The sequence below is a fragment of the Homo sapiens genome, chromosome 3 (assembly GCF_000001405.40).
Source record: "Homo sapiens chromosome 3, GRCh38.p14 Primary Assembly".
NCBI classification, from domain to species: domain Eukaryota; kingdom Metazoa; phylum Chordata; class Mammalia; order Primates; family Hominidae; genus Homo; species Homo sapiens.
Genome location: NC_000003.12, coordinates 182,905,262 through 182,931,743, shown reverse-complemented (window position 1 = coordinate 182,931,743; position 26,482 = coordinate 182,905,262). Strand labels below are relative to the sequence as shown.

Here is a 26,482-nt window from a genome sequence, read left to right as displayed (position 1 = left end):
GTGCTATGCACATTCATGTACAAGTATTTGCTTGAGTATCTGTTTTCACTTCTTTTAGGTATATGCCTAGGATTGGAAGTGCTGAGTCGTATCGTAATTCTGTGTTTAACTTTCAAATGAGGAACGGCGAAACTATTTTCCAAAGCAGTTGTACCAGTTTACATTCCTACCTGTAGAGTATGAGGGTTCCAATTTCTCCACATCCTCAGCAACACTTGTTATTGTCTATCTTTTTGATTAAAGCAATCTTAGTGGGTATGAAGTGATAACTCATTGTGGTTTTGATAAGCATTTCCCAAATGTTGAGAAGCTTTTTCTCTTTTTTTTTACTCTTTTCTTTTCTTTTCTCTTTTCTTTTCTCTTCTCTTTTCTTTTCTTTTCTCTTTTTTCTTTGAGTCTTGCTCTGTTGCCCAGGCTGGAGCACGGTGGTGCGCTCTCAGCTCACTGCAACCTCTGCCCCCCGGGTTCAAGTGATTCTCCTGCCTCTGCTTCCCAAGTAGCTGGGACTACAGGCCTGTGCCACCACGCCCAGCTAATTTTTTATATATTTAGTAGAGTTGGGGTTTCACCCTGTTAGCCAGGATGGTCTCTGTCTCCTGACCTCGTGATCCACCCACCTCGGCCTCCCAAAGTGTTGGAATTACAGGCGTGAACCACTGCGCCCGGCAGAGCATCTTTTCATGTCCTTATTGGCATTTGTATATCTTCTCTGGAGAAATGTCCTATTCAAATCTTTGCCCATTAATTTTTTTTTTTTTTTTTTTTTTTTGAGACAGAGGTTTGCTCTTGTTGCCCAGGTTGGAGTGAAATGGTGCGATCTCGGCTCACTGCAACCTCCGCCTTCCGGGTTCAAGCAATTCTCCTGCCTCAGCCTCCTGAGTAGCTGGGATTACAGGCACGCACCACCAAGCCCAGCTAATTTTTCGTATTTTTAGTAGAGACAGGGTTTCTCCATGTTGGTCAGGTTGATCTGAAACTCCCGACCTCAGGCGATCCACCTGCCTTGGCCTCCCAAAGTGCTGGGATTACAGGTATGAGCCACCGCACCCAGCCTAAATATTTTTTTGATTGTGGTAAAAAGCATAACATTTACCATCTTAATTAACCATTTTTAAGTTACAGTCAGTAGTGTTATTTGCACATTGTTGTACAACAGATATCCAGAACTATTTCATCCTCCAAAACTGAAACTCTGTTCCCATTAAACAATTCCTCATTTTTCCCTCCCCTTGGCTCCAGGTAACCACAAATCTGCATTATTTTTCTATAAATTTGACTACTTTCGATGCCTCACATAAGTAGAATCATATAGTACTTTTTGTGATTGGCTGACTTCACTTAGCATAATGTCCTCAAAATTCATTCATGTTGATGCATGTGATAGGATTCCCTTCACTTTTATGATTGAATAATATTCCATTGTAGGTATATACCACATTGTGTGTATCCATTTATCCTTTGATGGACATTGAGTTGCTTTCATCTCTTGCCTATTATGAATAGTGCTTCCATGAACATGAATGTGCAAATATCGCTTTGATACTCTGTTTTTAATTCTTCTGGTATATATCCAGAAGTGGGATTGTTGGATCATATGGTATTTCTGTTTTTCATTTGTTAAGGAACTGCCATACTGTTTTTCACAGTGGCTTCACCATTTTAGTCCTGCCAATAGTGCACAAGGGATTCAGCTTCTCCACATCCTTTCAAACATTTGTTATTTTCTGTTTTTGTTTGCTTGTTTGTTTGCTTGTTTTGACAGTAGCCATCCTAATGGGTATGAGGTGACATCTCATTGTAACTTTGATTTGCATTTCTCTGATTATTAGTGATGTTGAGCGCTTTTTCATATACTTGTTGGCCATTTGCATATCATTTTTGGAGAAATGTCAAGTCCTTTGCCCCTTAAAATATTCAGGTTATTTGATATTTTTTTTGTTGTTGAGTTGTAGGCATTCTTTATGTATTCTGGATATTAACCCCTTGTATATGATTTATAAATACATTTTCCTATTCCATAGATTGCCTTTCAATCTGTTGATTGTGTTCATTGATGCACAAAAGTTTTTAAGTTTAATATAGACCCATTTGTCTATCTTTGCTTTTGTTGCCTGTGCTTTTGGTGTCATATCCAATAAATTACTGCCAAGTCCAGTGTCATAAAGCTTTCCTCTTATGTTTTGTTTTGTTTTCTTTTTCTTTTTTTTTTTTTTTTGAGACAGAGTCTTGCTCTGTTTTCCAGGCTGGAATGCAGTGGTGTGATCTCAGCTCACTGCAACCTCCACCTCCCGGGTTCAAGCAATTCTCCTGCCTCAGCCTCCTGAGTAGCTGGGATTACAGGTGTGTGCCACCACACCTGGCTAATTTTTTTTTTGTATTTTTAGTAGAGACAGGGTTTCACCACGTTGCCCAGGCTGGTCTAGTACTCCCGACCTCAGGTGATCCACCAACCTCGGCCTTCCAAAGTGCTGGGATTACAGGTGTGAGCCACCGTGCCCAGCCTGTTCCCTTTTTTTTTTCTTAATTGTTTTGGCTATTCAGGATCCCTTGATATTCCATATGAATTTTAGGATGGATTTTTCCATTCTTACAATAAATGCTATTGGCATTTTCATAGAGATTGCATTGAATCTGTAGATTGCTTTGGATAGTATTGACATCTTAACAATACAAAGTCTTCCAGTCTTGAACACAGAATGTCTTTCCATGCATTTGTCTTCTTAAATTCCTTTTAGCAATTTCTTTTCCTTGGTTAGGTTTATTCTTAGGGTTTTTGTTGTTGTTTATTGAGGCTATTGTAAATTGCTTTCTTAATTTTCTTTTTGGATTGTTCATTGTCAGTGTATACAAATGCAAACAATTTTGGTGTGTGGGTTTTGTATCCTGTAACTTTGTTGAACTTAACAGTTCAAACAGTCTGTGTGTGTGTGTACTATTTAGGGTTTTCTAACATAAGATCATGTCATCTGCGAGCAGAGATAATTTTATTTCTTCCTTTCCAATTTGAATGACTTTATCTAGTTTTCTTGCCTAATTCCTCTGCTTAGGACTTCAGTACTGTGTTGAATAGAAGTGGTGAAAACTGGCATCCTTGTCTTGTTTCTGATCTTAGAGGAAAAACTTTCTCTTTGACCATTGTGTATAGTGATGGGTATGTCATATAGGACCTTTATTATATTGATGTACTTTCCCTCTATTCTTAGCTTGTTGAGTGTTTTAATCATGAAAGGGTGTTGAATCGTGTCAAATGTTTTTTCCTGCATCAATTGAGGTGATCGTGTGGTTTTTGTCTTTCATTCTGTTAATGTGGTGTATTTTGATGATTGAGTTTTCTGTGTTGAACCATTCTTTCATTCCAGGTAGAACTTTCACTTGTTCATGATGTATAATTTGCTACTATTTTGTTGAGAATGTTTGCACCAATATTCATCAGGGATATTGCCCTATAGTCTTATATTACAGCCTCTTTGGCTTTGGTATTAGAGTAATGCTGTCTTCACAGAATGAGTTTGGAAGTGTTCTTCAATTTTTTTTGAAAGAGTTTGAAGATGATTGGTGTTAATTTTTAAATGTTTGGTAGAATTCTCCAGTGAAGTCATCTTGTTCCTGGGCTTTTCTTTGTTGGGAGGTTTTATGCCCATTTTTTAATTTTTTTTTTTTTTTTTTTGAGACAGAGTCTCACTCCCATCACCCAGGCGAGTGTGCAGTGGCATGATACAGCTCATTGCAGCCTCGACCTCCTAGGCTCAAGCAGTCCTCTTGCCTCATTTTTTTGTATAGACAAGGTCTCACTATGTTGCCCAGGCTGATCTCGAACTCCTGGGCTCAAGCGATCCTCCCACCTCAGCCTCCCAAATTGCTAGGATTACAAGCGTGAGCCACCATGCCCAGCCTAATTTGGTTCTTTTATTGTTGACTTGTAAGAGTTCTTTATATACTCTAGATATTAGACTTTTATCAGGTATGTGACTTACAAGTATTTTCTACTATTCTGTGGATTGTCTTTTCACTTTCTTGATAGCATCTTATGGCATAAAAGTTGAATTTTTTTTTTTTTTTTTTTTTTTTTTTTTGAGACAGAGTCTTGCTCTGTCGCCCAGGCTGGGGTACAGTGGTGTGATCTCAGCTCACTGCAACCTCTGCCTCCCGGGTTCAAGTGATTCTCCTGCCTCAGCCCCCCGAGTTGCTGGGACTACAGGCAAGTACCACCATGCCCGGCTAATTTTTTTTTTTTTTTTTGTATTTTCAGTAGAGACGGCGTTTCACCGTGTTAGCCAGGATGCTCTCAATCTCCTGACCTCGTGATCTGCCCACCTTGGCCTCCCAAAGTGCTGGGATTACAGGCGTGGGCCACCGCGCCTGGCCAAGTTTAATTTTTATTAAGTTCAATTTTATCTATTTTTTTCTCTTGTTGCTTGTACTTCAGGTATCACACCATTGCCTAATCCAATGTCAGAAGATTTTTACTTATGTGTCTAAGAGTTTTATAGTTTCAGATTATTGTTTGGTATTTGATTTGTTTAGGTTAGTTTCTGTATAATGCCTGAGATAGGGGTCCAAATTAATTCTTTTACCTGTGGATATCCAATTGTCCCTGCACCATTTGTTGACAAGATGGTTCTCTCCCCACTGAATGTCTTGGCACCCTTGCTAAAAATCAGTTGCCTGTAAATGTGTGGATTTATTTTTGGATCCTCAATTGTATTGTCTATGTCCTTCCTTATGTCAGAACCACAGTCTTGATTACTATAACTTTATAGTAAAATTTTAGAATCAAGAAGTGTGTCTTCCAACTTTGTTCAAGATTGTTTTGGTTTCTCTCTGAGTCTCTTGCACTTCCATATAAATAATAAGATCTGCATGTCAGTTTTTGCAAGAGAAGCCAGCTGGTTTTTTGATAGGGTTTGTGTTGAATTTGTAGATCAGTTTTGGAACCACTCATACATTTTGCCTCACTATTTCATGTGTCAATCTAATGTTCTTGATTCCTAGTGCCACCGCCTTCATTTGAATTCCCATCACACGTTGCCTTGATGTTTGCAGTGGCTTTTTATATATTCTCTATGGCTTTTGTCTGCTTCTCTTCCAACCACTTTTTCTCACTGTTGTCAGGATGATTTAACTAAAAGGCTTAAGATCCTCTAGTAACTCCCCATGGCTTTCAGAAGTGATTCACTAACTTATTCAAATAAATGTCTCTTAAGCCCTTAATGTGCCAGGCATTATTCTGGGAATACAGCAGTCAACAAAACAAATAATAATAGTTGCCCTCATGGAGCTTACATTCTAGTGTTGGGGATGTAATAAACAAAATCAGTCAAGTATACAGTGTCATGTATAGTGCTGCAGAGGGAAAATGAAGCAGGATGGGGTAAGGAGAATATGCAGTTTTAAACAGGGTGGTCAGGTAGGGCCTCACTGACGCATCTGAATAAACACCTAAAAAAATGCATATATCTGAGAAGGCTTTGTAGGCAGAGAAAATAGAAACTGTAAGGGCTCTGAGTTGGCAATGAGTCTGGCGTGTTTAAGGAATATCAAGGAGGCTAGCAGGCTGGGGAGGAGGGGGTAAGGAGAGTAATATATGAGGTCAGAGATAACAGGAAGCAAATTGTATATGGCCTTGTAGGCTATTATTAGTGCTGTGGCTTTTACAGTGAGGTGGGAAGTCATTGGAGGGTTTTAAGTAAAGGGGTAACAAGTCCTGACTAAAGTTTTAATAAAATTGCTTTAGCTGATGTGTTGAGAAAAATCCTGTTGTGTCGGGGGGTAGAGTGGAGGTAAGATGAAAGTAGGGGATCAGTTGTGGTAGGCAGCCTCTAAAATGCCCCCAATGGTCCCTGCCTTCTGGGATTCACACTCTTGTGTAATCTCTTCCCCTTGCGTATGGTCTGGACTTACTGACTTGCTTCTAATGAGTAGAATATGGCAAAGTGATGAGGCATCACTTCTGAGATTAGGTTATAAATAGCTTCCATCTTGCATGCCCTCTCTTGCTCACTTGGTTGCAAGCCAGCTGCCATTTTGTAAGCTGCCTTTTCGAGAGGTCCGTGAGGGAAGGAACTGAGAGCAGTCTCTGGCCAACCAGCCAGTAAGAAACTGAAAGTCCTTAGTACAGCAACCCATAAAGAACTAAATAATACAAACAATCACATTAATGAGCTTGGCTGCAGGTTTAATCTCAGTTGAGCCTTCAGGTGATACTGCAGCTCTGACTGACAGCTTGACTGCAGCCTTGTGAAAGACCTTGAGGCTTTGGTACCCAGATAATCTGCACCCATATCCTGGATCCACAGAAACTGGGATAAAGTCTATTGTTTTATGATGCGAAATTTTGGGGAAATTTTTTATGCAGCAATAGGGAAGTAATATGTCAGTTAAAGAGTTACTGCAGTTATCCTGAGATGATGGTGACTTAGACCAGGATGACGACCAGGTTGACAAACACTCTAAATATTAATGCATTTGAATTCTGGATATACTTTAAAGGCAGGTCTATTTTCTGAGGAAGTAGATATAAATGGGGGTGAGGGGCGGTGGTCATAGTGTAGTAAGAAACATCACAACCAAGTGGGATTTATTTTAGGGATGCAAAGTTGGTTTACCATTTGAAAATCAACCAAGGTAGACTGGGTATGGTGGCTCATGCTTGTAGTCCCAGCATTCTGGGGGGCTGAGGTGGGAGGATTGCTTAAGCCCAGGAGTTGGAGATCAGCCTGGGCAACATAGTGATACTCTTGTCTCTACAAAAAATTTAAAAATCGGCTGGGTGTGGTGGTGAGTGCCTGTAATCCTAGCTACTTGGGAGGCTGAAGTGGGAGGACTGCTTGAGCCCAGGAGTTCCAGGCTGCAGTGGAGCCATAAGTCTGCCACTGCACTCCAGCCTAGGCAACAGGGGGTGACTCTGTCTCTTAAACAAAAAACCAAAATCAGCCAAGGTAATTCACTGTATTATCAAACTAAAAAAATTAAATCACATGATCCTCTCAGTAAATGGAAAAAAAAGCATTTTTCAAAATTCAACACCTATTCATGGTTTTAACCATGCCTATATAACACTGTACCAGTATTAAGCACACTGTACTAGCCAGTGTGCGGGGCAGTAACAAGTAATTTTAGGCATAAAGATTGGAAAGAAAAAAATTAACCTTTTAGTTCTCAGATGACGTGACTGTGTATGTGAAAATCCAAAGGATTCTATACAAAAGGAGTAAAAAACCTACTGGAACAAATGAGTGAATATAGAAGGGTTGTAGGTTAACAAAGTTAAAATTGATTTGTCCAGGATCATATCCTTATTTTTTTTTTTCGTTTTTTTTTTTTCTGTGAGACGGAGTCTCGCTCTGTCGCCGAAGCTGGAGTGCAATGGTGTGATCTTGGCTCACTGCAACCTCTGCTTCCTGGGTTCAAGTGATTCTCCTGCCTCAGCCTCCCAAGTAGCTGGGACTACAGGCGTGCACCAACACGCCCAGCTCATTTTTGTATTTTTAGTACAGACGGTGTTTCACCATGTTGGCCAGGATGGTCTCGATCTCTTGACCTTGTGATCTGCCTGCCTTGGCCTCCCAAAGCGCTGGGATTAGAGGCGTGAGCCCTTGCGCCCGGCCCCTTATTTCATATTTTATTTCTGTGTTCTAGTAAGGCTAATAGGAAAATAAATTTGAAAGTGATTCCCCTTACCATAGCATAAAAAAATCATAAAAAATTAGGACTTTAACAAAGTATTTGCCAGATACCTAAAGACTACCAAACATCACTGAGATAAATTAAAGACAACCTAAATAAATGGATACACCATGTTCATGGATTGGAGGACTCAATATTGTTGAGATGTCTGTTCTTTCCAAATTGATGTATAGATTCAGAGCAATACAAATGAAAACCACATCAGGTTTTCCTTTTTTTTTTTTTTTTTTGTAGAAAAGTCAATTCATTTTAAACAGAGGCACCATACAATTCGATGGAGGAGGAGAATATTTTAAAGAAAGAAATGGAGTTAAACCAGATAACCTTGTGGGGTGGGGGGGAGTTGCAGGGAAGGAAGATCCTCATTCCTTGCTGCCTTGCATCATACTCAAATGAATATGAGATATCATCTTTGACCTAAACATAAAAGTTAAGAAGACTAATGCTTTCAGAAGAAAACATGGGAAAATTTCTTCATGACCTTGGGGTTGACAGAGTTTTTAGAAGTCATGAAAATCACCTAAAACTAACTAACTAACTATAAAAGGAAAAAAAATTGGACTTCATCAAAATACAACACTTCTGCTCCCCAGAGTGACAATTAAGAAAATAAATAGGCAAGCCACAAACTGGGGGAAAAATGCTAGCAATACATACATAAGACAAAGGACTTATATCCTTACCTTAAGGATTCCTACCATTCAGTAACAAGAAAAGTAGCCTAATGAGAAAATGGCCAGACTTGAACAGACATTTTGAAAAAATCATAAATCACCAATGAGCATACGAAAAAAGGATTAAAAACATCATCATGGAAATGATAACCATAGTGAGATGCTTTATTAGAATGGCTAAAATTAAAAAGACACCACCAAATGTTGGCAACTGGAACTCTCATAGTTGCTGGTGGCAGTGTAAAATAGTACCTACAGCCACTGTGGAAAACTTTTTGATAGTTTCTTATAAACAAACATAAACCTACCCTATGACCCTGCAATTCTACTCCTAGTTATTTCACAAAACAAGTGAAAACATAAGTCCACAAAGAATGTTCATTATAACTTTATTTAACAACAGCCCCAAACTGTAAAAGAACAAATGTCCATAAAGAGGAGAAAGGACAAATTGTGGTACATTCATGCAATGAAACACTACCGAGTAGCAAAAAGAAAACTATGGGTCCTGGCACAACGTAGATGAGTGAGTCCCACAGAGACGCTGAGCAACAACGCCAGACACAAAGGTGACACACTGTGTATTTCATTTACATAAAATTCAAGAGTAGGCAAAACTAATCATCTAAGACAACAGAAATCAGAAAATGGTTGCTGGGACAGGACCAAGAGGGGAATAAATTCACTGCAAAAGGCACAAGGGACCCTTGAGGAATGACGGAAGGGTTCTTAACCTGGATTGGGTTAGGGTTACATGGGTGTAGAGAGTTATCAAAAGTGAGTAACTATAATCCTAAAATCGATACATTTTACTGTGTACAAATTACATCTGAATACAAACCATTTTCCCTTAAATTAGTATTTAAAAATTTGATTTATCACAGGGCTCTCTGGCTGTTCATAGAGAGGTGTGGTGACTTACTTATCTCCATTTACAATAGCCTTTCCTTTGAGTCAGTTAGCTCTTCAATATAAAACTTGAATTGTTTTTGAATTCACTAATTAATTTTCTAGTGAGATGCTTCTAATAAAATTTTTTTGTCCTAAATAATTTATTCATTATTCATCATGTTCTACTTGTATATTAGAAGTTAAAGACAGTAGTCGCCCTAAAGATAGTCCAAACACTCCTTTTTAAATATAAAAACAGATGCCTAAACTGATTTGTCTAGGATCGTATTCTTATTACATCTCAAAAATACATTACATAAATCATGCATTGTCATCCTTTGCAAATACTAAAAACTGGGCAAAGACAACAGCTTAACTTTTTAAGCAGATGTAGATTAGACAATTATGTCTGTTCTAACTTGCAACCGAGGAAGCAGTGCAAATAACTGGTTGTCAGGAAGCTGGAATATTTTATATGGACGTATACATTCTATTATCAATCAATCAATCAGTCCTATATTTTTAAAAAAGCACATATTTTCTATGAACCAGGCCATTTCCAAATTCACAAGTGCTCTTGGCTGGCTTTTCATGAATGATGCAATTTCTAGTTGAGGTATGCTGGTATCTACAGCTGGCACATTCCTATCAGAGCCTTTTCCAGGAGTTGTACTGATGATGATCTATAAAAGCTGGGTAAGAACTACATTTTAAAAAACTGCAGTCAGTGAAAGGCATAAATGATATCCCTGTGCTATAATGAAGGGTAAATACAGTAAAACTTAACTTGAAACAAGTTTGGCAGTGCAGGTTGTGATAAACAGAGACAGGCTTAAAATGCTTAAATAAAGGAACACTTTTAATTATATAGGAAAGTTTTTATTTGATAAATATAACTTCATAAACTTTAAAAAATTATGAGTAGCTGTACAATAATATACTACATTTACTGACAATGCAGAGAATTTTTAAAGGATTACATTAGACAGCCACAGTGTCTCAGGTCCAAAATTTTAAACCAAGTATTGCTACAATATTTCCAGATACTCATTCCTCATAAAAATCTAAATTACCATGATTACAAACATATCATGAGTTATGATCTATTTTTTATAGGAACAACATTCAAGTTATTTCACATAAAACAGCACTTTAATAGTGTTTTACTTTTATGAAAATAGATAACTCATTTCAAAATAGAAATAAAATGTCTGTACGTGGGGACCAAAATTAATAAAACATGTTTTACGTAACTCTTTGGTGTGTTATTTTTATTAATACCTGCTTATATCATACCCCAAACTGATCTTTACAGGAAAAACACCAACATGGAAGATTCTCCCTTTTCCTACAGCCTTCACGAGATTTTTCAGAGTAGCATATTTTAAAAACTTTTGGCTCTTAACTGTCAATTTTCTAGTGGCCTTGACTCCTGCCTATTAGGAGTCTCAAGCGATCAGATAAGTTCAATCTCACAATCTTTTCCAGTAGAAATGACCTCAGTCCTGGTACTAACCGTAGGGCAGAATGCAAGTATTTCCTAGGGTTGATTTGCCTCTGTTTAGTCTCCTGTTCAGGATAGGGCCTGGGTGTGGCTCAGGTCTGGAAGCCTTTGTGTATTATGAGCTTTAGACCCAAGAAAGAGGACAGTTAGAAAATTCAGACCATAAATTCTCCCCTTTTCTCAACTCGACAGCAGGTCTTCGTAGCTGTAGTTCTCCCTGGCCCATACTTTGCTCCGCCCAGGGTGAGCCTACGCCTGCTGAAGCTGAGGCAGGGTGCTGAGTCACTTAAAGCAGCTGAGGGGCAATTTTGGAAACTGACTTGGTGCTTGCCACTATCTTCAGGCTTACAGCCCTCAGACGAGGCAAAGGGAGGCAAATCGATTTGAGACCACTGATTAGCAATAACGTATTTAGCATTTTGCTCTGGTTTTGGCAGATAAGGGTAAGTTAATTATCAACATCATACTTTCCAAAGAAAGAATTTTAAAGAAATATGCAAAGGGGACACTTTCCTTGTGATTACTGGTTACGTAGTAAGAGTTTTACAGGATGAATATAGCACTAGAAAACTACTGAAAGCTTGCAGACTGCATTGTTACTTTCTTAAATAAATAGAAAACTCTTTTCTTAAAATCACAAGATAATTTTGCTTTAAAAACGGAGTGGATTTGGAGTAACAGTTCAGGATGAGCACACTAGTGGTTGCCATTTACTTTTTTTAAAAAAATAAAGTTCTCCTTAACTAACTTCAAATGGTGAGTACAGAAAATTACATCAATCACACTTTAAGCACCATTATAGGCGAGCTGACCTCCTGTCTTGCTGCAGTTGGTCATAGGCTATTTTATGACTTTGGAGTCTTTGTCTGGTGTCAGTACTCAGTTTATTTGATGGCAAATAAACACGGTCATGTAAATGTAATGCAGGCCTACTGGGTGTCATTTTGTTATATGCACGTTTTATAAGAGATTTTATGAGCAAATTTCCATATCCTCCCACCTAGTACTCTACTGAGTATATCTTCATTATTTCCTCTTCTGGAACATGAATTAGTGAATGCAGACATTGTACGTTGTATTATTCTTTTTAGTACTTCCAGAATAACAGATCTTCCTAAATCCAGCTATGAAATATCTAAGTTAAAGAAGGACTATTTTTGAAAATTAATATTTAGCTTAATAACTTAATATCCTTACATCACTGGAACAGACAAATGTTACATTAGCAAGAAAATAATAGTTTACAAGCAAACAAGGATAAAGTCTTAATTTCTGTCTCTACCATTCTTTCCCCTGCCAGTCCAATTCTAGAAGCCTTATATTCATGAAATGGGAAGGAAGCTTAGGGCTGCACAATAAATCTCCATAAAGGAATTACATTTTCAAGGGAAAACTTGGTAAAACCGCATTTAACCATTATCTTAATATGTATACAATCATTATTTGCTTAGAGCTGGGTAATAGTTCTCAAGCTAATAATCACTTCTAAATCTTAAGACAACATTACTTTTCAATAAAACAAAAACAAATGACAATACTGAACTACTTGATAAATTCAGGATGGAAGTTAGGTTTTGAAGTGCAATGAGTTAATTACAGTAACATGTACCCGATTAATCATTCTTAGCATTTAATTTATTGCTAACATTACCTGATACAAGTTGAGCATTTTTACATTCCACAGCCACACCTGAAATATGCCTTGTACTGGGACACTGGCAGAACTCACTGTATTGTGGTAGTTTGCTATAAGTTAGATGACATAACCTGAAAATAAGATTATTAACTGAAACCCTTTATTCTAAAATCTAGCTTATAGAAAGGGAAGAGCATGTCTAAGTCGGCTGCAGAAAGAGGCTCTTCTTTTTGTATTCATTTAATTACCCATACTATTCTGATTTGTATAATTAAACATATTTGCAATATTTAAATACTGTCCAAACTTTTTATTGATATAGTTAAACTGTACAACGATGTCATGAAATACTATACACAGAGCCTTCAGGTAAAGAGAAAAAAAGCAAATTTAAATATGTTAACCAGATTAAAGCATGCAAAAGATCCAATGATAAAGACATTAAATTAATAATATGCTAATAGTATCTAATTTACCCACTATAGGGTCTTTATACTCTGTCACAAAAATATTAGTAAACATCAATTTGAAGTTCGGTGAACGGACCTGATTCCTGATTTGTATATATGATATACCCTTGCATTTATATGGCTAACTTTACAGGCTGTGTTACAGTACAGTTAGAGGAATTGGTATAAATTTACTCCCCATACTGCAGTAAATAATGGTTGGAAATGATTCTCCTAATTTGCTCTGTGAACTCAGAATGCATTAATGAATTAACAACACAGGTCACTGAGGGACCAAAATTCCTCAGTATTCACATTAACTTTTCCCATGAAAAGCTTTAAATATAACTCTAATAAAAAAATAGAGTTCTCAAGGCAAACTTTCAGCATAATTTACAGAAGCAGATTTAAATAGAAGAGTCAATAATCAAGCTAATACTAAAAAATACTCTTTACTAAGATTTCTCTCTTTTTTCTACATTTATATTAAAATATAATGGCCTCAGCAACAGACTGAAATGCCATTAGGAGTCCCATAAGCACAAGGGACAAACCAGACAAAGAGATGAAAAATGTCTCTTTATTCTCAAATTTTAACATGTTCAGATTCAAATTAAGGGTGTTGGGAGGGGCTTGTACTAATGCTTTCTGTTTGTTTGCCATTATAACTCTGAGTGGGTATGAACTACTACAAAGATTTTGGAAATTAATTTCAGAGCTAGTGTGGCCATTAACAGGGTGATCACACTGAATTTTAGGAAAGGAGGTGAACTGGCTCCCACAAAGTACTACTGCCCCTTTAACAAGTAGATGAGTCCATTGTGGAGAGAGTCAAGATGCTCCTGTCGTTGGTATAGAAAGGATCCGATGCACTCCATGATCTAAAGTAACAATAAGAGAAAAGTTTGGCTCACCAGGACCTATGTTTTAATTGAGAAAAAAATTTACTCTAAAACTTAGGACCCAAATGCAATCACTGATTGATTCATTTAAATACTAAAGAGAGGTTCTTCATACTAGTATCGAATGCCCAAACTTTCTATTTATATTATATAAAAACTTGGGAAAAATAATGCTCTAGTCATCATATAAAAATATTAGCCAAAATTCAAACATTCATTAGCATTAAAACAGTTTCTATATGTAGTAAAGCATGAGCTGCTTTTAAAGTGTTAACAATTCAATAAGAAGTATGTTATTAAGAGTTATGCACATTGTTTTACTGAAAAGTTCAGTTTACAAAAACAAACCCAAATCCCACTTACCAAAGGCTTTGGAATGAAACAGTAGTATGTTCCTATTATTGATCATTTCATTTCAGCTATAAATCCTATTCTAAAGACTTCCGCATAATTAGCTTGAATGTAGCGAATGATGTATTCAAAAGGCATCAAAGACACCTGTAGGTCACTAGCGTTTTCACTTAATAAGGACAAACGATCCTCTACTGGTCTGGAAAAGTTAACTGGTGTTTGAATGATAAGGCCCTAAAGCAAGTCATTACATAATACTTTATGTGCAGCTGTAAACTTAAATTAGCTTGAGTTAATTTAAGCTAAAATAACTCAAGACCAAAAGTAGCCTGCCATGCTTAAAATAGACTAACCTAGTTCAAGGACAGTATTAGGATTACCAAGTGAAAGACTGCTTTTCTTATGAGACTAAACACATTTAACAATAAATACATTTTATGTAACTTTTTCCAGGGTTCCCACCTTCCCTAAACAGAGATGTTACAGGAAGAGATGAGCGTTAAAAAAGGCCCCAATTCACCTTTGTCAAATATTTTCTCTTTCCCAGAGATGCTAAGTTTGTATGTAGCTCAACTTTAATTCGACTAGTTTCTAGAAAAGCTGGAACAGTATCTACCTTAGGTTAGGGAAGGACTTGTTCACTACTGTCTCCCTAGCATCTAGAACTGTGTCTGACATATATTGGGCACCCAGTATTTGCAGAATAAATGAATAAAATGAGAAGATGAAAATTTCTTAAAGAGTAAGTATTTACAGGGGACAAGTATGCTTTTAACTATAACTTTTAACTATAACAGCTATCAGTACTCCAATTATCCGGAGTCAGATGTCCAATTCCAAACTGCCAATACTTTATATTAGTTTTTCTTCTTTCCACATTGCTTACACAGAATAATCTTATTAGGTAAAGTCTCCTTCATTTTAAATTTTTTTTCAAAGCACACATGTGCATTCATATGTTAAATATAATTTTTGACAGAACATTAAACACTTGAACTACATATTACTTTCTATTTAGAAGATAGTTTTGATGAGGATACAGTAGCTTAACTGTTAGTAATACACGAACAGAAAATCTTTTATTGCTAAAATCCAGCTCTTTAGGGTGCAACATGGCATATTCTTTATATAGCACCATGATGCTCTCTTTGAAACTGAGCTTGCAATATGGGATACTTCATTGACAACATCAATTAATAAAATGTAAGTCAAATTTTTGTGCCTGGATGGTACAAATGTAATCACCAAAGAAATCTGTCACATAAAAACACTGGTGGCATTTCTCAAGTGATGCCCATTACTCTTGACTTTACTATGTCAATGGAACACACAGCTAAGGGCTTCTACATCTTGGAATGGCAGTCTCAGACTTGCCCCACCTCTTAAATTAGACATGAAATAGAAACATAGAATAGATGCTACTCTAAAGTCACAATGGAAATGCCCAACACATTTCACAAATACAATTATATGTAAACAAAAAGAGAACTCTATGTATCAAAATGACTTTGCAAGTTTAAATACAATATTGATGCATCTATGGCAATTTTCACATAGCCCTTGAAAAGCACCAGGTAGCTTGGTGTTATTATATGACTTTATCCCCTAGAAAAGAATGAACAGGTCTGAAAAGACCTTCTAGATTATTCACATGAGAAAAAGGGTAAGAAAATAATAGTAACCAATAATATAACCTGTGATGTTGGAGAAACCTGGAAGGGCATTTATAGTCTAATATGATATTAATTACTAAGTTAAACATTTTATTAGGAGAATAAAAAAATTCAGAAAAAAACAATATGGCGCAATTTTAAGTGAAAAGAAGTATAGATGATAATAGCTACCTTCAAGAGAACATGTAAAAGTAAATTCAATAACTCCTGGGGCAGGTTCAAAAGAGGTAATGCTGCATCAAAATGGCTATGTAAAGAATAATGGGGGCATATTACCATAATCGATATCAAGAAAATGGATATATGTATATAGCAGAAAAAATCTGGGGCTCATTTAAAATTAATTCTAGTTTTAAAAAAATCATTAACAAAAACGTATATTGTCATTAAAGAGAAATTTCCATTGAAGGAGAAGTTGAAAAAATTCTGTAGAGGTTCTATTGTATCTTAGTCTAACTCCTATCTTGATTCTGTGCAATGAAGCTATGTTATTAGGTAAAATAGTATTATAAATCAAGCTCTTTGGGAAATTTGCTGGCCTAGGTACATGACAGAGCCACATTTTATAATACAATTATGTAAATCATAACAAAGTCCCAGAGTTTAAGTGCTCATCCTTCTACGTGGAATGAAATTACTACAAAATGGTATCACAGCATTATGGAAATATTTCAGATCACGTTATAATCAAGTCAGAATAAACGGGGATTGAAACCACAGACATTATGTTAACATAAGAATGCTATTTATAAATTCAATTGTATCATAAAGGCATGGCTAAGCTAAAGCTAAAGTGAGAACTAACAAGTTCACCAGTAAAAGTTACCTGAATTTTATAACAGATGAATGATATCATACTCATCATTTTTTTAAAACACAAAGCTAACCAAATAATAAAAATCCTTTTTCCAGTAGATAGGAGTAGTGCCTTCTTCACTCTTTATAACCTGTTCCTGGGGTAATTTCCAACCTTTTCCAAGCCCTGGCACATGTAGAAAGTGCTAATATTCATGTAGCACATTTGGGACAATGGCAACCAACATCTCTCCCTGCCCATTTGTACCTCCATGCATACCGTGTACTGCTGCCCTGATTTTGAGAATATGGTATCATTCACCTAAAGAACACCAAGTGTGGAAAAAGCTCTTTCTACCCCCTAACATCCTCTAAATAGTGATATAACTCTTGGGGAAATGTATGAATAAATAAATCCATTGCAAGTTTAAATGAATTTTAAATGGTGTTTACCAAAAGGTGTTTTTTTTCGTTATGGTGCACAACAGCAGGCATGGTGATAAATCTCATTCAAGAAACAGATTTAGGAGGGGACAAAAATGCTAAGATTCTTTTACTCCATAATTTAAAAAGCCTGTTCTAACTCATACACTTTTAATTAGGCAATAAATACCAAGCAAAAGAAACTTAAAAATCATGACTCATTTCAAAACTTCATTACAGACATAAGAAGAGGTAGGGGAGCAGAAATACAGCCTTTTGTGTTTATAAATACCTCAAAGCCTCAAATAACCAACTGGAAAATATACATACAGAGTAAGAAAAGGAAAGCCTTTGACTTCACTGTTATGTTGAGATTATTTTGTAAAGACAAAAAGCAAAAAAATTTTAAAAAAATAAAAAGGAAATAGTATATGTATAATTTAAAAAAGAAAGTTATACAAACCATAAAAGAGTACCATAAACACACTCCTACTGAGCACATTTTAGAAAGATTATGAAACAAAATTTTTTGTTCATTAGATGAAGTCTCTTCAAAGGTGCTTTCTCTTCCTTTGTGAGTGAAAAAGCCCTTACCCCAAAGCCACAAAGTGAAATCTACCACCAAAGAGTGCTAATAAATAGCAGACTTCCTGCTTCAGTTGGTAAAACCAGCTGCTGATTTATTAGGTATCTAGAGCGGCAGGTTCATCCTGTTCCAGATAGGATACTCATCTGCAGCAAAGGCTACTTAGAGAGATTTCACACCTGCTGATGTGGGTTGGACTACATCTTCCTATAACTCGTTCCAGCATTCTTCCAACAGATGCACACGCTGCTTCTCCTTCCGGGAAACAGCACATGGAGTCCAAGCACTTGATACCTGCATTTGTTTCAGTAAGCTGCGGGAGGTGAAGCAGAAAACATCAGTTGTTTAAAGATATGGACTTCTGAAAAGCATTAGAACATTACAACAAGCACTTTCAAATCAAAGGTAACATATATAAACCTACATGTTTTTCTATAATATGGGAAACATATGAAAGGCTTTAATTTACTAGAGTATAACCATCCAAAATTATTTTAAAGCCTTGTATCCTAAATTAGAGGTCTAGTAAAATAATTATATAAATTAAGAAGCTGGATATTATGTAAATCTACTTTTAATGTTTCATTTTAATCATTTATTATGGTCAAAATGATTTCCATCAACCACTCAGGAATGTAATGAATTCCAATTCTGCATGGAGTTTTTCTTTAGGTGAAATGCTCCTGCAATTTCAATTAAAAATGTCTAGCCTGCAATTTCAATGAACAATGTCCAACAATTGAGATAAGTGGAGTATGAATTATCTTTAAGACTGGGAAATAACAATCAGGCAGGACCTCACCCCAATGTTCAGTAACAACAACAATGGCAGCAAACACTTTACGTATGCTTTACTATGTGCCAGGTTCTAAGCACTCTACATAGATCCACTCCATACTTATCTTTGAAAAAAGCATCATTTATCATAAATTGCTAAAAACTTTTAAGTGGCAATCATCCCATCATCAGCTCATCCTGCTTTGTAACAGTTAGCTGACAGTTTAATAAATTAAAATTTATTAAACAAGTGAATAAGTAGTACTATCAAGATTTGAAACTGAATTACTTTCTGAAAGTATGCAAGATTTATGTTGATTCAGGCATAAATAGCCCAGCAAGATAATTTTATTCCACACGACTAACAATTTTAACTGAGTAAAAATGAGGGGGAAAGATGGTATGACCACGTAGCTCGATGAATCCCAACCCTGGTTTTGTTTGTCAAAGATGCTCCGAAATTTTTCAAGGGCTGTTGTTTTAAAAAAAAAACACCTTATTTCAATTCACCTTCTTTTACATATATAACATCCTACGTAACACATCTTTTGAGGATAGAGAAGGAGAATAAATACAGGGCTGCACTTCCACGAAGGTTGGGAATCACCATGTGCTGGGTGCAGGCAACAGAGGATGTTTGTGGAGATGCTCACAATGAACAGAAGAGACGGACGTGATGGAACAGAAACCTGGCATTCTGAATGTAAACAACTGCTGATGTCCTGCAAGATCCATGCTCAGAAGATTCAACACCACACAGTGTGAAACAACATGGTTCTTATCTGGCAACTGCCTGATGACAGTGTCCTAGGATCAGCTAAGCACTGAGAAAGAGCCAAACTTGACTTGTTCTTTCGTTACAATACTCTTGGTTTAGAATTGTTTAGGGCACAGTTTCTTAAACTGTGTTTTGTAAGATATTTACAGACATTTCATGAAAAAAAAAAAGGGGGTCAGTGTTCAATTAAATTTGGGAAACACTAATTTAACAAAGTTCTAAACAGACTTTTAAAGTAGAGGACTGTGAAGTCAGGATACATGGTCATCTCCATGGGGGAAGCCTGAGATATCATAATTCTCCACTCATTTTCTTAGTGGGAGAAACCATACACCCCCACCCACCAACCAGCAAATATTAAGCAACACCAGGAGGATCATTCATATTCAGAGGAACAGTTTAGGAAATGCTGGTTTAGGTAACAGGATTTCATCAGTTTTCCAGTATTCTCTTTGGGTCCCTGGACTCCAGTTTTCCCAATCTCAAATTTACCCCTTGTAGCAACCCAGACTCCAGGGCTCCTACATGCTCAAAGGATAAAGCCCCACACCGCATGAAGCCTTGAAGGCCCTTTACAGCCTGACCCCAGGCTGCCTTTCCTGCTCTGCTTCCCAATGCTCTGGTGCAGTCTCCACTCCAGCCAACCAATGTTCCCTGCCTGTGGGCAACGTGTCGGGGCCTGCCATCAATCAGGGTCAGAATGCTGACCCCTACATCAGCGTTCAGCTTAAATCCTACCGTCTCCATTAACTTCCCTCACCTCTCCAACTATGAGTCATCTCTTTCTCTGATTCTATTTCACTGCTTATTTGTATCACTTAATTGGCACAAGCACTTAAACTTCTATTTATTGAGCAAGGTACTGTGCCACTTTCCACAGGGGATAGTAACCCTGTGCTCAATCCGGTGAGCTAAAGGTAAGGAAGAAGGTGGGAGAGAGGACAAGTCAGGAAGACATACCAACAGCAGTTACATTAGTGGAGTGCTCACCACGTATGCCCCAGTGACTATGTAAGATGCTTCTCATGGATTGTCTCACTGAAAACTTAAACAGCCCTTAGGAATAGGCATCATGATCATCCCCAGTTTACAGATGAGGAAACCGTTAAGAATTTGTTCAAGGTCACCCACTTAATCTGGGGCTTGAATCTTGGTTTCTTTGCTTGCAGAGCCCAAACCCCTTTACCATAGCACTTCCTGCCTTATGATTATAAGAGGCAGACTACTCAGAAAACAGGAGGGAAAGCTCAAACCCAGCTGCTGTTAGTGGTACTGGTGGGAGGGCATGAAGATTTGATGAAAAAGGTGGCATTTAAAATACATCTTAAAGGACTTAGCGGGGGGGGGCATTTCAATAGCAGGAGATGGGGGGGAAAAGATATTCCAGGCTGAAGGAGGAGAAAGAGTGGCTATGTGTGGGCAGCAGTGTGGTGTGTATTCCGCAGAAGCTTAGCCTAAGTGTAAGGGAGTGGTACTGTCCCCTTGCAAAAAGACCAGTTGTGACTCACAGTGTGGTCCATAGATCAATGCTGATCCATAAACACTATTACTGGCCCATGAAGAAATAAGCATTTCTAATCTGTGAGAATAAGAGCTTAGAAATTTTTACAGCAGTTGGACAAAGTATGTTTATAACTGTTAAATTCAATAATTTAAAAATTGGGGCTTATTTTATATATCTTTTAGATTTAATTTTCCTATAATTCATTTTTATTGTATTTGTAAAAGCACTGGCTCAAGATAAACTGGAAATTAAAACAAAACAAGAAAATAACAAACTGGTCCTTCACCACATTTACTTGGAGAGAACTAAACCAGAAACTCAAAAGAGCAAGGATCTTGTCTGACACTTTAGTTTAACAACATGTGCTTTGCTCAAAGCTGGTGCTCAATCAACTGGGAGAAATTCATCGAGATGACACCCAGAAGGTAGCCAGCGCTTGAGTATCCATATATGTGCAAGACACTGCCTTGGTCTGGATCTGACCCTGGTAATCATCTTGCTTTGCATTCATCACCTTTCACCTTATTTTTATTATTTTTAGAGACAGGGTCTTGCTCTGTCATCCAGGCTGGAGTGCAGTGGCACAATCGATCCTAGCTCACTGCAGTCTCAACCTCCTGGGCTCAAGCAATCCTTCCACCTCAGCCTCCTGGGTAGCTACTACAGGTGTGCGTCATCATGTCAGGCTAATTTTTAATTTTAGTAGAGACAGGGTCTTACTATACGGCCCAGGCTGGTCTCAAACTCCTGGCCTCCAGTGGTCCTCCCACCTCAGCCTCTCAAAGTGCCGGGATTACAGGTGTGAGCTACTGAGCCTGGCCATCCTTTGCTTTAAAACTGAAGGACAGTTATTAAAATATGGACATCCCAACAGAGAAGGTAAACATCTTGAAATGTCAAAAATTTTAAGAAATGACTTCTTCAGATCACTTTTTGAACTAAGTGTATATATATGTGAATATATAGTTTGTATGTATATGTTTCCTTTTTTCTCTAAAGAAAAAAAAGAACTCAGCTGCTTTTTTTTTTTTTTTTTTTTTTCTGGAGGCCGAGTCTCACTCTGTTGCCCAGGCTGGAGGCTGGAGTGCAGTGGTGTGATCTTGGTTCACTGCAACCTCCGCCTCCTGGGTTCAAGCAATTCTCATGACTCAGCCTCCTGAGTAGCTGGGACTACAGGCACACACCACCACGCCCAGCTAATTTTTTGCATTTTAGTAGAGATGAAGTTTCACCATGTTGCCCAGGCTGGTCTCAATCTTCTGAGCTCAGACAATCCGCCCACCTCAGCCTCCCAAAGTGCTAGGATTATAAGCATGAGCCACCGTGGCCAGCCTCAGCTGCTTTTAAAATGCTGAATGTTGGCTGTGTTTCTGTAAAGCTATCTATAGAAAATGCTATACTGTTCTCTAGCAAACCTCCAAGCTCTACTACTTTCCCATATATACATCTTTGATCTCAATATTCAGGAACTGGGAGCTCGGGCCAGAGTACCTGTATAGACATAGTTGCCAGTATAATTGGGTGAGGAGAATGGGAGTGGAGCATTTAGAGCCCATTTCATTCAAAGTAAGGAGAGGAAATCATTACATTTTTGGGGGAAATCATTACATGTTTTGGGAGACCACTTTTAAATAATAGAAAAGAAAAAAAAAGCATAGTAATGGGAGTGAGACCCCACCTAGTGGTACCAAGAGGTAACTTTTAATTTACTAGAAGTTGTGATTGGTAAGCCTCACTTTCCACCACACTTGCTCCCAGGAATGACCACATAATTTAGTGCTAGAAAGGCTGTCAAGCAAAACAACTATGTCTATTCAACATGACTATGCACAGATAATAAAAATGCTCATCTTCACAGAAATTGCCTTTTGAAATAAATTCTGGCTCACTGCTTTTATTTCCATTATTTTCATGTCAATGACAATAAACACTAAGACATTTCTTATTGCTTATACAAAATATTTTCCTGAAACCTTACAACCTTCCTTAAATCTTATAAATTTTAGAAAAATGTCTCACATTTCTAACATTTTTTAGTCACACCTATGACATTCTATCAAATCAAATAAAGGTTTTTGTTTTTTAAAGTTTAGATAATAACTGTCAAACAATTAACCATGCTAGGTCTTTTGCCCTTAAAGGTGTTCTATATACTGGATAATCAAAGTGAGCACCTTGCATGGCCTTCAAGGAGTTATTTGGAAAGAAGGCTTAAACTCTAATTTTAAAAACAAAAATGAAAAAAGAAGAGGTTTGTGTTTAAGGAAATGTTTTTCTTTTTAATGTAAAATCAAGTCATCAAATGTTACTGATTTTCAAATCTGATTAAGAATCATAAAATCTCTAAAACAAGTAATGAGCTTCATCTCATAATTCAGAACTGCAATGGAGATAGCCAGGTAGTGATGAAATCTGGGTAACTGGTATATCTTACTCAAGGCCTGTTTCTCCAAAACATTCTTCAAGCTCATATTCACTCTTCTAAACTCCCTTTCCTCTCTCCTTCCCTCTAAGTAAAATAAACAACTTAGAAAGATTGTTATAAAATACTTCCATACTGTCTTTTAGGGATTTCTTAAGAGAAGGAGATTTCTGTATGTATTACATACCTAAGAATATGGGCCAGGTGCGGTGGCTTACTTCTGTAATCCCAGACCTTTGGGAGGCAAGGAAGGTGAATCACTTGAGGCCAGGAGTTTGAGAACAGCCTGGCCAACAACGCGAAACCCTGTCTCTACTGAATATACAAAAATTAGCTGCGTGTGTAGTCCCAGCCCGTCTGTAGGCTGAGGCAGGAGAACTGCTTGAACCCAGGAGGTGGAGGTCGCATTGAGCCAAGATGGTGCTTCTGCACTCCAGCCTGGGCAGCAGAGTGAGACCCTATGTCTAGCTCAAAAAAAAAAAAAAAAAAAAAAAAAGAAAATAATAATATGAGAATTATATTGATTCGGTAAATTTATTTTAATAATCTGGCTTATTCTTAGTTTGAAAGAGGACTAAGGGCCTTTTGTTTTAATGTATTCTACTGGTTACATAAATAACAACATATGACTAGGAATTTGTAATTTAGGTGAGGAAGAAATTAATACCTGTGAAAAATGATAAAATCCCCAAATTTAATGCAGACGGTAAATTAATGTCACAGGCTGTAAGAGAGAATTCACTTATCATTCCTTGGCAAAAGTCACCATAATAAGGCTCCTGTTATTTAATGGGAACATTCTAAGAACCCAATTCTCAGCTGTACTGTACATTTAATGGACATATTAAAGCAAAGCAGTACCAGATCCACATCATATGAAATATCCACTAGAACTTAAATGTGTGGGGACCTTTTATTACAGAGGACACAATTTTATAGTTTTAGTCAGGTCTTAGGAGATTATCTGCTTTGTAGACTATCCAAGGCATAACATAAATCCTAGGCAGCAGCAAGCTCTTCACATGAGCTTTCTTTGGCGCTCAATCAGAGCCTATTAAAAAAGCCTAAACATCTTTCTATAGCAAGGCACAATGCAACAGAAATATACTGTAAATATAATCATATGAAGCATACCAAAACACACAAAAATTCAGGATTCTTTTGAATATCTTTTCAACTGATGATATTTAATAACAGAGTTGATTAATTTTTCATTTAGGGTAATCCACTAATCTAATTTAAAACTGTATCTTATAGAATAGTCCAGATTCTTCAAATTATTCTACCTGTTCCAGGGTCTGATTTATAGTGTGGTTAAAAGATTTACAATTTTCAAGTGGCTTTGTTACAAAGTTTCATCACTGCTTCTCCCATATGAGACAACAGCACTTTCTTGACTAGTAATTACAATAAATAAAATAGCAATTAGTCCAAATAATACAATTATTAGTGGCAGGAAATTTTATCCTCCATCATTACTACCAATCCAAATATTCTGCATATCCCTATTAGGTCTCGAAATGGTTGTCAGGGTTATTCCTCGAGAGAAGAGAAAATCAAGCTCTCATCAATTCTTCTTTCTTTCTTTTTTTTTTTTTTTGAGACGGAGTCTCACTCTGTCGCTCAGGCTGGAGTGCAGTGGTGCCATCTCAGCTCAATGCAAGCTCCGCCTCCCAGGTTTATGCCATTCTCCTGCCTCAGCCTCCCGAGTAGCTGGGACTGCAGGCATCCGCCACCACACCTAGTTAATTTTTGCTTTTGTATTTTTAGTAGAGACGGGGTTTCACCGTGTCAGCCAGGATGGTCTCGGTCTCCTGACCTCATGATCCACCCGCCTCAGCCTCCCAAAGTGCTGGGATTACAGGCGTGAGCCACCATGCCCGGCCTTCTTCTTCTTCTTCTTTTTTTTTTTTTTAAAACAGATACAACTATGAAAATTTATGAGCCAGGTGTGGGGGTTCACGCCTATATCCCAGCACTTTGGGAGGCTGAGGCAGGTAGATCGCTTGAGCCCAGGAGTTTGAGACCAGTGTGTGCAACACGGCGAGACCCAGTCTCCACAAAAAATACAAAAAACTACCTGGGCATGGTGGGATGCACCTGTAGTTCCAGCTACTGGGGGAGAGGGGTCGAGGGTGGGAGGACCGCTTGAGCCCGGGAGGTCGAGGCTGCAGTGAGCCATGATCGTGCCACTGCACTCTAGCCTGGGAGATGGAATGAGGCCCTGTCTCAAAGAAAAAATTTATGAAAAGAATGGAAAGTTTGTTGAATAGCAGCAGTCAGCAGAAAATTTCTCAGTACTAAGTCTAAGCACCCTACTCTTTGATCATTCAACTTAAGAGGTGACTTAGATAAGTAATTCAGTATCCAACTATATTAAGATGGGTAAATGATACACAACTACAACTTCAAGGGGGAAAATGATTTCAGAGATAACAGAAATAGCATGACATTTTCAAAAGGAGAAGTAAAAAGGAGTATTTTCTTGAATGTAAGACAATAGGTTGTGAGAATATCTTCACAGCTTAGAATGTGAGGTGAAGTCTGATTTATCTTTGGAACTCTAAAGAGAGATTGACAAAATTTTCAGGGATGGACATATGAAAAATGTAAAGACCACAAAAAAGGAAAACAACGAAACTAAAACAACATATGAGGAACAGTGAAGGAATTAGTAAAGAAATGGAAATGTCAGGTCAGGTGTCCCATGACATGCCCCCCAAGCATGAGAACTTAGCGGATGAGTGCCCGGGAAGGTCCAGCGCAGTACTACCTAGTGCACGCAACAACTGTCCTGCTGGCTGCAAGCCTCAGCTAGCAGGTGCCTACTGTCCTCCCCTCTGTGCTGGCTTTCAGCAAATTCATATGCTGAGCTGACTGAACCCTTATCTTCTTCCATCTGGAAGGACAGAAAAGCAACAAGTCTCATATTACAGAATGATACTCTTCACCATATAGAGGTTTAAGATCAAAGCAACAAGTTGGCATTCACAATCTGAGGCACAAAAGAATGTTCAAAGAACAGTACATTTACTGTCACAAAAGAGGGCTAATGGGAACTTCTTAAGGGGAACACAAGCACACAAAATAAAGCCATGATTTTTCAGTGCACGAAGCTCTAACTAAACATATATTACAGCTAAGTTAAAACCAAATTTCTTTCAATAAAATTCAGTTTCTTCTATTAAATTCATTTGCCACCAAGATTTAGGGTTCTTATTGAAAAGGTATGTCCAATTTCTCACCTTTCCTGCTTCCCTTCTCAGAAGACTTCTCTACTCTAACTGGACTTCATGGCCTTAGAAATGTTGAGCATGTGTGCAAAGGGCTTCACCTGATCTATTTGTTAACAAAAGAAATTTAATCCTTAATTTGAAACAGATTTTTAATGAGGGTCAATAATTTATATAAATTTCAGTTCTTTTTCTGTA

The 26,482-nt window shown here is 37.5% G+C and overlaps 1 protein-coding gene across 6 annotated transcripts in view, besides 2 other annotated features; it reads right to left on the bottom strand.

The window, feature by feature from the left end:
- Positions 6,196-6,255: an enhancer, noted in NCBI's record as "active region_20883". NCBI's record gives its function as "activates an Ori minimal core promoter by ATAC-STARR-seq in GM12878 lymphoblastoid cells {active_cell/tissue: GM12878}" and the evidence as "EXISTENCE:reporter gene assay evidence [ECO:0000049][PMID:35858748]".
- The window catches only part of ATP11B (ATPase phospholipid transporting 11B (putative)), a 128,126-nt gene continuing 111,758 nt past the window's right edge, over positions 10,115-26,482 (bottom strand). For 3 of the 6 annotated variants that reach the window (NM_014616.3, XM_011512597.3, XM_017006008.2), the window contains 2 exons: positions 17,750-17,883; positions 10,115-13,721 (listed from right to left, as the gene is read on the bottom strand). In NM_014616.3, coding sequence (NP_055431.1) covers positions 13,640-13,721; positions 17,750-17,883 — 216 coding nt within the window. In that variant the 3' untranslated portion in view covers positions 10,115-13,639. Of the gene's footprint in view, positions 17,884-25,824; positions 25,951-26,482 lie in introns of all 6 variants that reach the window. The other 3 variants (XM_011512593.3, XM_011512594.3, XM_047447784.1) reach the window with 3 other exon arrangements.
- Positions 17,563-17,702: a silencer, noted in NCBI's record as "silent region_14933". NCBI's record gives its function as "represses an Ori minimal core promoter by ATAC-STARR-seq in GM12878 lymphoblastoid cells {active_cell/tissue: GM12878}" and the evidence as "EXISTENCE:reporter gene assay evidence [ECO:0000049][PMID:35858748]".